General features: G+C 42.8%; 1 protein-coding gene across 19 annotated transcripts in view, besides 1 other annotated feature; it reads right to left on the reverse strand.

The window, feature by feature from the left end:
• ZMYND8 (zinc finger MYND-type containing 8) overlaps positions 1–13721 on the reverse strand; it is a 147486-nt gene that overhangs the window by 70322 nt on the left and 63443 nt on the right. For 17 of the 19 annotated variants that reach the window (NM_001281781.3, NM_001281784.3, NM_001281771.3 and 14 more), the window contains 5 exons: positions 12261–12353; positions 10652–10739; positions 7694–7749; positions 4036–4113; positions 2567–2682 (listed from right to left, as the gene is read on the reverse strand). In NM_001281781.3, the coding sequence (NP_001268710.1) occupies positions 2567–2682; positions 4036–4113; positions 7694–7749; positions 10652–10739; positions 12261–12353 (431 nt within the window). Of the gene's footprint in view, positions 1–2566; positions 2683–4035; positions 4114–6160; positions 6292–7693; positions 7750–10651; positions 10740–12260; positions 12354–13721 lie in introns of all 19 variants that reach the window. The other 2 variants (NM_001281780.3, NM_001281779.3) reach the window with 1 other exon arrangement.
• Positions 1930–2224: a silencer, noted in NCBI's record as "tiled region #15539; HepG2 Repressive non-DNase unmatched - State 17:Gen3'". NCBI's record gives its function as "represses a minimal TATA promoter and a strong SV40 promoter by Sharpr-MPRA in HepG2 cells {active_cell/tissue: HepG2}" and the evidence as "EXISTENCE:reporter gene assay evidence [ECO:0000049][PMID:27701403]".

Consider the following 13721-nt stretch of genomic DNA (forward strand, 5'->3'; position numbering starts at 1 on the left):
CGAAATTAGATTTGCTTGACAAAATAGAGTCTCTGCGGGGGACAATATCTAGTTTCACATTATCTCACATCTAACCCCACGGTGGCTTCTCCCTAGCTATGTGACCCTAGGCACTCTCTGACCTTAAGTTTTCTTATTGATAAAATAGACATAAAAGCAGCTTCTACAAAAAAGCACTTAAAACACTGCCCAGTACATAAAAGGCAATTGGTTGGTGTCCGCTTTTTTTTTTTTTTAACTCTGCAGGCATTTAATAAAATATTTCCTATATTTTTACATAACTGTGCATCTATAAAACAAAACCAGGCCAGGCACAGTGGCTTACGCCTGTAATCCCAGCACTCTGGGAGGCCAAGGCAGATGGATCGGTTGAATCCAGGAGTTCAAGACCAGCCTGGGCAACATGGCAAAACCCCATCTCTACTGAAAATACAAAAAATTAGTTGGGCGTAGTGGCACATGCCTGTAGACCCAGCTACTTGGGAGGCTGAGGCAGGAGAATGGCTGAATCCGGGAAGAGAAGGCTGCAATGAGCCGAGAGCTCGCCACTGCACACACCAGCCTAGGTGACAAACCAAGACTCTGCTCCAAAAAAAAAAAAAAAAAAAGAATGGTGGTCAGAGACTCCCTGCCCAAAGCCTACTAAAACATCCCAAGACCTCCAAAGTTGTTTCTCTACCACTGTGGAAGGTCCTGAACAACTCCCTCCAGGGGATCCCCTCTCCCAAAACAAGCCCAACAACACGGTGCACTCCCTTAAAGCAGGTGCTGAGAGGGGCTTCGAAACTGGTGACCATCAGACCCATGCTGCTTTCTTTTTCACAAACAGAAGGGGGCCAGCTTCCACGACAGCTCTCATCCAGAACCAAGACCTAAACACACAAATGGTTTTGGGAAACAGCTTCTGCACACAGAGCTGGCCAACTCACACGCCGTCCTTCATGCTCTGTAAGCCACCTTCAGTCGCTGTCTGACGGGTGAGAGATGGAGGTCCCTGCAGAGCAGTCACAGCTGAGAGACTACAGCCATCAACCATAAGGGTCTGGGAATATTGGGTGCAAGGGGGTAGGTATTATTTTTTCCCATCCTGCCTGTGTCCTAAGTATATCTACTCATACTGTATTACTGTATCAACCTATAGAGTAAGAATCTCAAATCATCAAGATGGTTCACATTTGTCATGCTCTGATGAAGAGGAGGGATGTACAGCCTGTCACCAATTCCTCCTGCTCTTCAAATAAAAAACAAACTCCTGCCTACCCCTCTGACTCCAGCTGTGAGCATCCTCTCCTCCCCGACCCTGTTTAAACCCCACTATTCTCCCAGCATTTCCTGAACCCTCTCAGCCTCAGCCCTTCCCCTCCCGACCTCTGCTCTTCCTGGTCCCTCATCCCAGATCTTCACACCAGGCCCCCACCACTACCTCCTGACCTGAGATTATCTTGCCTATTAGTTCACTTGTGTATCATCCTTCTTCCCCGCTAGGATGTCAGCCTTCACATGGGCAGAAACATTTGAATCACCAGCTTCCACTACACAGGCTGGCACGCAGCAGTCATCAAATATGTATTTCTTTGAATGAAGGAATACAGGAATTAAAGTCAAGGTGCAATACTTCCTACCAAATCCAGCACCATCTCAATAATTTCCATTTTGTCTTCTGACAGTGGACCATTGGGATTCCTAGTAAATGAGTTTGCAAATGACTTGGGAATTCACTCTTTTGGTCTGCAAGACGACTAGCAAAATTTAACAGGGGAAACCAATTTTCAGCTTCTGGACACTCTGTGTGTGTACATAATTTGTAGTATATATATTTTAAGTAGTCTCGCTACATACTAACACGCTTTCTCAAACTGATTGGTAGGGCTTCAAAAGGGTCTTTGCCTTACTTAATCATAACTTGATAAAAGAGAACTAAGATATTAACCGCTGCTCATCTCTGCCTACCTGTTGTTCTCAAGCACACAGCAGGCTCTGCTCTACAGGGAACTGCTATTAGCTGGAATAATTCACTCTGCCGTGTACGGAGGGAAAGGGGAGGGCAGGAAGGCTGGGAGGGAGGGCTCACACCTGTCAAAACAGCAACCCCTTATAACTTCCCACTGTAGCTTCAGAGAAAAGGGAACAGGAGAGAACTACTCAGCATGATGATAAGAGATTCATTTACTGGCAATCTAGGAAACTACTTCTATTCTTTGAAAGAATGATTTGGAAAGCAGTTTCCATGGAGGTTTAATTTACTTCAGAAACCCCCTCCCAAAAAATCAAACCAAAACAAAAAAGAACAGCAGCACTTCAAACAGCCACAGAACCCATTCCAATGTTGGTTTCATCAACAGACCCAGTAAAGTAAGATGATTTTCTAACACACCTGAGAAAACTGTAGCCCACGCCATTACCAAGCTTAACATACCACAGGAAATTTATTTCAACAACAAGATCAATGGTTGGTATCATGACAATAATGAGAATAATAGCTGCAGCCTCCACTTCTTTTCTTATCTCATAACAGTATCAAAGTTCAGTGAAAGCTACATGTTCCAAGCCTGTTATTAACTCCCACCTGTCATGTTGTCCAAAGAATCGGGCATCGACCTGCCCGTCTTTATCCCTTAGAGCTTTTGCAGGCCAGAATGGAAACCCCTTCAGTTTGGCCCAGACCAAAGGATGTGGATTGCTCTAGGAAAAGAAAAACAAGATCCAGAGTTTGTACATATTTGACAGCAAGATACTCACTAAAGTTTGGTATGTGAGGATGAAGCAGGACTGTGGGACACAGGCCATGAGTGGAAAAAGAGTTTCAAGCAGGGTCGGCCTGTGTGGTATTCCCTAAAAGGTATGTGGCCAAGACACCTGGACAAAACTGCAAATGGAGTTAAATGGTGAAATCAAAAGCTGAATGAAGTCCAGGCATGGTGGCTCACGCCTGTAATCCCAGCACTTTGGAAAGCCAATGCGGGTGGATCACCTGAGGTCAGGAGTTCGAGACCAGCCTGGCCAACATGGTGAAATCCCATCTCTACTAAAAACAGAAACATTAACCAGGCGTGGTGGCACACGCCTGTAGTCCCAGTTACTCAAGAGGCTGAGGCAGGAGAATCACTTGAACGCAGGAGGTGGAGGTTGCAGTGAGTCAAATCACGCCACTGCACTCCAGCCAGGGCGACAGATCGAAACTCCATCTCAAAAAAAAAAAAACAAAAAAAAGAAAGATGAGAAAACCAGGGTTGGATTCTAGCTGTACCATTATTATCTGGGCAGGCACGAGCAAGACATTTCACCTTTCTGTGCAACATACACAGAGACAATGACACCAATACCTTCTGTTTTTGGATTAAATGTGCATCATACCTAGCATCTAATAAGGGGCAGTATTTTGCTACCTTTATTCTTTATTGAAGGCTTAGCTATTCCGGTGTTAATCTCCAAAAGCACGAAGAGATGCAAAGTATATTTTCTCAACTTTCCTTGCCTAATCTTGCCTCCAAACCCACTCCAACCCACCAACCCCACCCCCAACACACACACCAGTGCAGCCCAACAATGTACTTCTCTCTGCAGAACCCCAGCTTGGAGAAGGCAGATCCACAGGGAAACTAGGGTGACTTTATTTCCCCCAAGAATCATGTTTTGGAGGGACTATGGAGTTAATCCAGGGAAGTATTTTCAAACCTCTTAAAATAGAACCAACATGATTTGTAAATCCACACTGATTTAAGCTCATCTTATTATCTGAAAAGCTTTGCTGCATCCCACATCTCTGATGAGCTCTCTTTTATGCTGCACCTTGCAGTCTGCCCAGGCTAATCAACCCAGGAAGCCATGATGCTATCTCTGGCACATGAACTTTCAGCCTAAGAGGTTTATCCTACCTGGATTACTTTCCTTCTGCCATAATTTTATCAGCAAAAAATTATCTTAAAACTCCATCCAAAGTTTCATCTAATAAGCCACCTGGAAAAAGCTGTCTCAGGGTAGTCATCCAAGGCACAGGGTTCAGTAAATGAAATAAGCAAAGTAAATCCAACTTACACAAGGCTCACAAAACCAGTTATCTCGTTTTTGGCAAGCAGCTAGATAACATTCTGGACATACTTCGATTTCATTCATCTGTAAAGCAAAAATACATTAGAATGTGTCACCCCAGGGGTGGATATCTTGTGGACCTCAATCAATGCTTGATGATTTTGAAGGTTAAGATGTTTTAAAGTCCCATAGAGGGAACACCTTGGAGATGAATCCAACCACTATGTATCGCTCCCAATGCTTCCACCCAGTCCAAGCCACCGTCCTTTCTCTCTGGACCAATGCAACAGCTAACTCCCCACGTCACCCACTTCCACTTTTACCCCCATTATAGACATTCCCTGCAGAGCAGCCACAGCCACCATTTTTTTTTTTTCCTCCAGAGTCTCACTCTGCTGCCCAGGCTGGAGTGCAGTGGCCCGATCTGGGCTCATTGCAACTTTCGCTTCCTGCGTTCAAGCAATTCTCGTGCCTCAGCCTCCCAAGTAGCAGAGATTACAGGCGTGCATCACCACGCCCAGCTAATTTTTGTATTTTTAGTAGAGACAGGGTTTTGCCATGTTAGCCAGGCTGGTCTCAAACTCCTGGCCTCAAGCGATCCACCCGTCTCAGCCTCCCAAACTGCTAGGATTACAGGTGTGAGCCACCATGCCCAACCCAGAGCCACCTTTTATAGACATAAATCTGTTCTTGTCCTTCCCCTGCTTAAAAGCCCCCAGTGACTTCCCATTATACCCAGTAGTTCTCTGTCAGAGCACTTTAACCATTCCCCCCACCCACAGGGATCACATAGCAATGTCTAGAGGCATTTTTGATTGTCACAAGTAGCCCAAAGGAGGGATGCGGGACTACTGAAATCTAAGATGTACACAATAGTCCCTGCAACAAAGAATTCTCCAGCCCTAAGTGTCAGCAGTACCAAGCTGAGAAACTAACAATGAAGTCTAATGACCTGACAGGTTCCCTCAAAGCCACATGTGATCTGGCCCCAGCCCACCTGTCTCGGCTCACCTTGCAGCAGTTCCGCTCCCCAACCCCTTCCAGCCACTCTGGCCTGCTCTGCTTGCCAAGCTCAATTCTATGTCCAGAGTAGCTAATTAATACCATGTTGCCCTATTTCAGCTCCACTGACGACAATCCGAAAATTCAATTAACTTATTTATTGTCCTTTTCTCTCATAAGAAAGTACATTCCCCTAGAATAACATTGTAGCTTAGAGCCAAAGATCCCAGAAGCTCCCTTCTTGGATCTCAAGTCAGACTCCACCATTTACTAGCTCTGTGACTTTAGGGTAAGCTGCTTCTCTTCTCAGAGCCCCCATATGTTGATCTATTGAAGAGAAAAAAAAGCAGCACCCACCACAAAGGGCTGTTATAAGAAATTAAATGAGATAAATGTAAAGTGCTTCAAGTGACAGAGTAATCAATATTGCCCATTAACATTTACTGAAGACTTAGAGTGTGCTGGTATCATTCTAAGAATTCTGTAAGTATTAACTCATTGTATTCCTTACACCTCATGAGATTAAAAAAAAAATGAGGCCCCAAAAAGTTTAGTAACCTGCCCAAGGTCTTACAGCAACAAAGTGGCATGGTCAGGATTTGAACCCAGGTAGTCGGGCTCCAAAGCCCATGCAGGTCACCACTGCACTGATATTTGTTATTCCTTTCTACCACTATCTGCCTTATTCTTCTCTTTAACTCTTATCATGCAAGGTGCCACATATTTAACAGGTGCTCAATAATTATAAGACTAACAGATTTCACAGGTCAGCGAGTAAGTAAGCGAATGAATGTGCAAACAAATGCATGGATGGCAGAGTGCACCTCCTGCTTCTAAGCCCACTCTACTTCTGAGCTATTCCAAAGGAACATATCCAAAACAGCCTGTATGACTTTCTTCAAGGAAATGCAAACTAAAATCACAGTAAGATGCCTACCGTTTTTACAGATCACATCGTTGGGGCAGGGGGGCACATATTTACATATAGTTTTGTAATTACAACTCCCAATATTGGAAAGGACATAGCCTCATTGTAACTGGAACATCTGACATGTTCACAGCCTCATAGTAGTTTTATTCCTAAAAATTAAACTAAGGAAATCATCAAATGCGCAATGATATTCATCACCTTGTTACTTAAGATGCTGATAAAACTGGGTACTATTTAATGACAAGAGGAGTAATTAAATGAATGTCCATGTGTTGTATGTAATACTATACAGCCATGAAAAATTCTGTTCTTCCTACGAGTTTAATTACCTAGGAAACAGAGAAAATACATAAAATAAACTAAGTGAGAAAGCAGTTTATAAAACTCTCTCTACATAAATATACAGACATAAGCCGGGCTTGGTGGCTGAGGCCTATATTCCCAGCGTCTTTGGAGGCTGAGGCAGAAGGATCGCCTGAGCCCAGGAGTTTGAGACCAGCCTGGGCAACATGGCAAAACCCCATTTCTACAAAAAAAATAATAATAATTAATTTAAAAAGAAATAGCCAGGCTAATTAATTAGCTGGGTGTGATGGTGCACCCAGTCCATGTTGAGACCCTGCCTCAAAAAATACATAGATAACTATATCTATATATAGATATAAATTTATAAGGATAGATTTTTTTTTTTTTTCTCGGAGACAGAGTCTCACTCTATCACCCAGTCTGGAGTGTAGTGGTGCTATCTTGGCTCACTGCAACCTCTGCCTCCCAGGTTCAAGCAATTCTTCTGCCTCAGCCTCTCAGTTTAGCTAGGATTACAGGCATGTTCCACCATACCCAGCTAATTTTTGTATTTTTAGTGGAGACGGGGTTTTGCCATGTTGGCCAGGCTGGTCTTGAACTCCTGGACTCAAGTGATCTCCCTGCCTCAGCCTCCCAAAGTGCTGGGATTACAGGTGTGAGCCACTGCACCTGGCCAGGTATCTATCTATCTATCATCTATCTATCTATCTGGATATATCTAGATCTAGATCTATATATCCATATATAAAAAGACATGGATGGGTCCCAGTGCTATCTGAACAGTTTTTCTTTATGAATGAATGGGAGCACACTGACAGGTTGAAGGTCATTCCATCTCATTTTTTTATTCTCACAATGAGATCTAATAAAGAAAAGCTCCCTCATACCATTTTGGCTGCCAGCCTGTCCCACAACCACCAGAGCCTCACAGCTCACACGCCTAAGAGGTCTGTTCCATCCACGCCATCACAATTATGGGCATTTGCAAGAAAACAGGTTCTCCTGGACACCTGGGCCACTCTCCCAGAAGCAGTCAAGGCCATGCCCCCAGATATCAAATCCTCTTCTGCAAGAGGACCAAAAGGGACCTGAAACAATACCAGGCTGTGGGGCCAAGGTCAGAAATTACGAATTCTATCTAGGCAATCAGGAAAAGACAGGAGGCCCGGTGCTTACTGGTGACTCAAGGGTAAAAAACAAAAAATCCTTTCCATCTCCCTTAGATCATTGCTACAGTAAGGGTGTTTTATAATATACTCGGGCCCCTCTTTGTTCTTTTTACTTTCCTTGAAGAGTAGGGGTGTGGCCTCAACAAATTCCAAAATCACCTCGGCTACCTAATAGGAGATTCTGCAAATGGAAACTTCAGCTGCCCCATCCCCTCCTTCTGGGTGCATCTAAAACAGGACAGTGGGAAACACATACCTCATGTTCACAGATTTTGATGACTACTTTCGCTATTTGCGTCAATTTGTGATTTCCTAAGGGAATAAGAAAACAGGATTAATTCTAATGGAAATACCGCAACACCGGGCCTGGGGACTTTACTTCCGCTAACAATGTGTTTACTTGCTTTTCCCCCAGGATTAAGCTTTTAAAGGCTAAAACCAGAGGTTCCTGGCTTCTAATAGTAATTCACATTATGTGATTCCTCCCATCAATGTCGACGACTCTTTGGCGCCTCGATGTCATCTTCTCTGCAACTGAGCAATTTATGTGGGTTTCCCTAGAGATCATGGATTAATATTCTTAAAATGCTTTGACATTCTAAAGGCTCAAATTAATGAAAAAAGGCCTTATTCTACCCATTGTCCCAGACGCCAACCCAAGAAGAATACAAGAGAAAGAAGACATTTTCTTGAATAGCTCTGGTGTGGCTAGTGCTTCAAAACACATTTTCTTCTTGGGCCAAGTGTGGTGGCTCATGCCTGTAATCCCAACACCTTGGGAGGCTGAGGCAGAGGGATCACTTGAGCCCAGGAGTTGAAGACCAGCCTGGGCAACATAGCGAGACCCCACCTCTAGAAAAAAACAACACACACACACACGCACACACGCACACACATACACATTTTCTTCTCAGCTCCTCAAGAAGTCATACTAGGAAGCAGGGACAAAATGTGCCCATTTAATGAATGAGTATGCCAAGGTTCAGGAGTCACCACTTACATTACTTAGCTAATAAAGTAACCATCTAGCCCCAGGTCTAACTCTACACTAAACCAGACGACAAGATGGTCCAAAGTCATGTTTTCTTTGAACTTTATGGTATTTTTAGAAATTGTAAATTTGTTGACACGAAGATTTCACACACACAAACACACAATATACCTACATTTCTGGTTTGCCTTGAAAACTCAGAAGATCCAGTAACTATAATCAATGGAGCACTGGAGCTGCCAACAGCGACCTTTCCAGGCCAGGTAGGAGTTTTCTGTTCTCCATGATCCACAGCACATCACTTGACCTGCAGCCTTCTTGGCTTGTGCTAATGTTTTTGTTCTTCTACCTGACCTCATCCACTTGTTTATATAATTTGATAGGCGGGGCCTTTCTATATATTTGAGTTTATAATCTTTACACCAATTCTTTTTTTTTTTTTTTTTTGAGATGGAGTCTCGTTCTGTCACCCAGGTTGGAGTGCAGGGGCGCAGATCTCAGCTCACTGCAACCTCTGCCTCCTGGGTTGAAGCGATTCTTGCGCCTCAGCCTCCAGAGTAGCTGGGATTACAGGCATGCGCCACCACACCCAACTAATTTTTGTATTTTTAGTAGAGACAGGGTTTCACCATGTTGGCCAAGCTGATCTCGAACCCCTGACTGAAGTGATCCGCCCGCCTCAGCTTCCCAAAGTGCTGTGATTATAGGCATGAGCCACTGCACCTGACCCACACATTCTTAATGCCTAGTGCCTCTCCTTTTTCCCCTCCTTGCACTCTCAGCCCTGCTATAGTTAGTAATGCAATATGGTGCGTAAAGCAGATATGCATATATCTTTCCTTAAACACTAGCAAACAGGCTGGCGTGGTCTCTAATGCCTGTAATCCCAACACTTTGGGAGGCCAAGGTGGGCAAATCACTTGAGGTCAGGAGTTCGAGACCAGCCTGGCCAATATGGCGAAACCCCATCTCTACTAGAAATACAAAAATTAGCCAGGTGTGGTGGCACACGCCTGTAATCCCAGCTACTCGGGAGGCTGAGGAACGAGAATCGCTTCAACCCAGGAGGCAGAGGTTTCAGTGAGCTGAGATCACACCACTGCAGTCCAGCCTGTGCGATTCAGTGAGACTCTGTCTCTAAATAAATAAATAAATAAATAATCCTATTTTTGCAATGAACAAAATATCTGAATAGATGTTTACAAAAAATGACATACAAGTCACTAATAAGCACAGGAAAAGATACGCAATACCACTGATCATTAGGAAAAGGCAAATTAAAACATCGTGACATAATACTTTACACCTTCAAGAACAGGTAAAATTTAAAAGGCAGACAATATCAACCCTTATAGTGTGTGGAGCAAAAGAGAACTCTAATATACCCTGCTGGTAGAATGTAAAATGATAGAACCACTTTGCAAAAACTGTTTGGTGAAACGTAGTAAGTTAAATAAAATCCTACTCACTGAGCTGGCAACACCACTCCTAGGTATTTACCCAAGAGAAAGAAAAACCTATGTCCATGCAAAGACTTGCACAAGCAGGTTCACAGCAGCTTATTCCTAACAGCCCAAAGCTAAGAACAACCCAAATATCCATGAGCATCAACAAGGTAAATGGATGAATGGCGGCATATTGATCGAATGAAAAAAAAAAATCAGCAACAAAAAAAAAGGAACCACTAATAACACATAACACAGATGACTCCTCAAAATATTACACTGCATGAGAGCAGCCAGACACACAAGAGCACTAACTCTGACTCCATTTATATGAAATTCTACAAGAAGCAAAATTAATCTATCCTAACACAAAGCAGAAAGTGGTTCCTGTTGAGAGTGGGTTTCCTAGAAAATGGCATGTATGAGAATCCAACAGGCTGATAGGAATGTTCTGGATCTTGTGGTTACACATTTGTCAAATTCAGTGAATATAAACATAAAATCTGTATGTTTTATTTTATGCAATTATACTTCCATTAAAATAAGGTTTGTAGAAATAACACTAAAAGGCAGCAGCACCATGCAGCTGCAAGCCACTTTAGATGTCAGCTCATACCTTAAAATGAACTTGGTCACTGCCTCCTATTCACATATATTAGCACAATCTATACGCAAGTATTCTCAATATGAATTAAGAGCCTGATTTTTCATGAAGGACAGGAATTTGTGCAACACATACACAGCATACTCTTTCTTAGGAGTCATCTAAGCCACTCACCCCCATTATAAATGATGCAGTTGTGCAAAATCCACTTTGCATCAGCCAGGAAGGCTTCTGTGCAGCCATACATTTTCTTTTTCGCATTCTGGGAAGAAAAGCGATGGAGCATAATCACAGTGAGTCTAGACAAGCCACAGTCAGTGACTCTTGTGTCCCCACATAATTTTTGTAGCAGTCATTTGCCAAATCAATTAGTGTTCTTCTATTCATTTCCCAAGATGCTTCTTTTTAACCTACAACACCCCGACTAAAGAATGCTTTTATTTTTGAGATCTATAACCCTATAAAAATGCACTCTTTGAATTTAACACAATAACTGGAATTTTCTCATCTTATAGTAGCTGTCATTTATCATGTAGCTTCTTCCAATAAACAGGATAGTTTATTTATTTAGTTTTTTTTTTTTTTTTTTTTTTTTGGAGGTGGAGTTTTGCTCTTATTGCCCAGGTTGGAGTGCAATGGCGTGATCTCGGCTCACTGCAACCTCCACCTCCCGGGTTCAAGCAATTCCCCTGCCTCAGCCTCCTGAATAGCTGGAATTACAGGCGTGTGCTACCATGCCCAGCTCATTTTGTATTTTTAGTAGAGACGGGGTTTCTCCATGTTGGTCAGGCTGGTCTCGAACTCCTGACCTCAGATGATCCGCCCGCCTCAGCCTCCCAAACTGCTGGGATTACAGGCTTGAGCCACCGCGCCCGGCCAAACAGGGTATTTCATATATTTATACATTATTTATTATTAGTCATATGGTCTCACACAAACCTCACAATAATTTAATGAAGTACTTATTATCATACCCATTTTACAGAAAGGCAAACTGAGATACAGTAATGTTAAGGAATGTATCTAAAGTTCCACAGCTCTTAACTTAATTAATATAAAGTCAGGTTTCCAACTCCATCTCTTTTGAATGCCTCCTTTTTTCCACCACACCATGAAGGTATGTGCAATTTCCTAAAAACAGACTGGATTTATGGTTTGGGAGTTATTGGGGAAGACAATATGAAGTAATGTTTCTTCCTCGTGGATGCATTTCACTGCCCATATTTTGCTGCAAATAGTTGGAAAATCAGCATCAGAATAATGTGCACAATCTACAGTGTTCCAAGTGTAATTTTCAGCGTGGAATTTTAGCATGAACTTTTAAAACCTTCAGGCATTCAAGAAAAAACCTAATCAGTAGAGTAAGTCAAATTCTAAGAAGCCACATCTTTATTGCTAATCTGGAGGCTTCCCAGACACTTAATTTTCTCTTCTTCCTTCCTGCTGCTCTCATTAGCACCTCCGAAAGAAAGAGGAGGTAACGCTCAAGTCAATCAAATCACTAACTCTTAGAAGCTATGGCTTTTGCAGGTAAAAAGCTAGAATCATCGCAAAAGTATTACCAAAGAATTTCAACATTCCACTGCAATCTTGGAAGAATGTTACAAAGGAAAGACGTTAGAGAATCAAGAGTTCTTCTATCCAAATAAAGGAGCAATGAAAATATAGAGAAACAATTTAAGATTGTTATGTCCAACTTGTGATAGAGCATAGGCAGTGAGGGAAGAGCCTTAGGCATCTCAACTGTGGGCTAGAATGGTGAGGTTCTTTGACGGAGGCCAACCTTTTCCAATGTACAAAGGTCCATTGGATGGAAGATGTATTCCGCATAGTCAGGGTGCTGTTCCAATGGAACGGGCTTCTGGAATGCATCTGTCTATAAAAGAGAAGATATGCAGAGGAACGAACCCATCATTACTATGGAAAACCAAGCATTAATGCTAACAAAAGGCTTGAAAAATTGAGACAACTTTTCAGACAATATAGTTCTAAAGTTTTCCATAAAGGATGACCGTGGGGAGCTCCAAATTGGTCTACCTTCTAATTCTGCCTGGTTATTGATAATTATAAGCCCAATTGTGATCCAATTTTATTCTTGGTTTTCAATACACACTCAAGAAACAGATCCTGTCCTCTTACATTAAGATTGACAATTACAATACGCACTGTAAGTTAAAAAGATGCTTTAACAAAATCAGCACTTTCTCCCCTGACTGATTTGACGTTCAACGATTTACTTGAGAAATTAACGCCCTCTTCAATTTTTCTTCTTGGTTTTTAATTCTATGGGGCTGACAAATCTACATGACTCATTCTTTTTGTTAATAGTCATTAGCACATATAATTTAGCCTATGAAAATCGAAGGTAATTCCTTGCCACACTCAACATAAAAATTATACCATAGCAAAAAAAAAACAAAAAAATTGTGCAAACCAAACTAAGGCTACACCTTTTGCTTCCACTGATTGAGATTTTGTTTAAAAGAGTCCAATTTGTTAAAGGTTCTCAATTGAAGGATATCCAATCAGCATGCTCTAAATTTTTTTTATCATCTCTTCAAAATTTCAGAATATAATCTCAAAGCAAAAGCTTCTTTTTTTTTTAAAGATATAAAACCACAGTGATTAGCCCCAAGAATCTACATTTCTGTACAGTACTCTCAGGAGTTGTACAAAGGGTCACCACTAGCCCCTATGGTGCCTTTGTGCAAATCAGGTAGGGGGCATCATGTCCGCAAGTTTCTCTTCATCTGTAGGGGCCAGGCGCCGTGACTCATGCCTGTGATCCCAGCACTTTGGAAGGCTGAGGCAGGAGGATCATTTAAGGCCAGAAGTTCAAGACCAGCCTGGGCAACATAGCGAGACCCTGTCATTACAAAAAATAATAATAATAAAAAAGTTAGCTGGGTGTGGCGGTGTGTGCATCTATAGTTCCAGCTACTTGAGAGGCTGAGGTGGGAGGATCGCCTGAGCCCAGGAGGTTGATGCTGCAGTAAGCTATGACTGCGCTCCAGCCTGGGCAACAAAGCAACAGTCTGCCTCCAAAAAAAGAAAGGAAGGAAGGGAGGGAGGTAGGGAGGGAGGGAGGGACGAGGAAAGAAGGAAGGAAGGAAGGAAGGAAGGAAGGAAGGAAGGAAGGGAGGGAGGGAGGGAGGGAGGGAGGGAGGGAGGGAGGCAGGCAGGCAGGCAGGCAGGCAGGCAGGCAGGGAGGGAGGGAGGGAGGGAAGGACAGAGGGAGGGAGGA

The sequence above is a fragment of the Homo sapiens genome, chromosome 20 (assembly GCF_000001405.40).
Source record: "Homo sapiens chromosome 20, GRCh38.p14 Primary Assembly".
In the NCBI taxonomy this organism is placed as follows: Eukaryota; Metazoa; Chordata; class Mammalia; order Primates; family Hominidae; genus Homo; species Homo sapiens.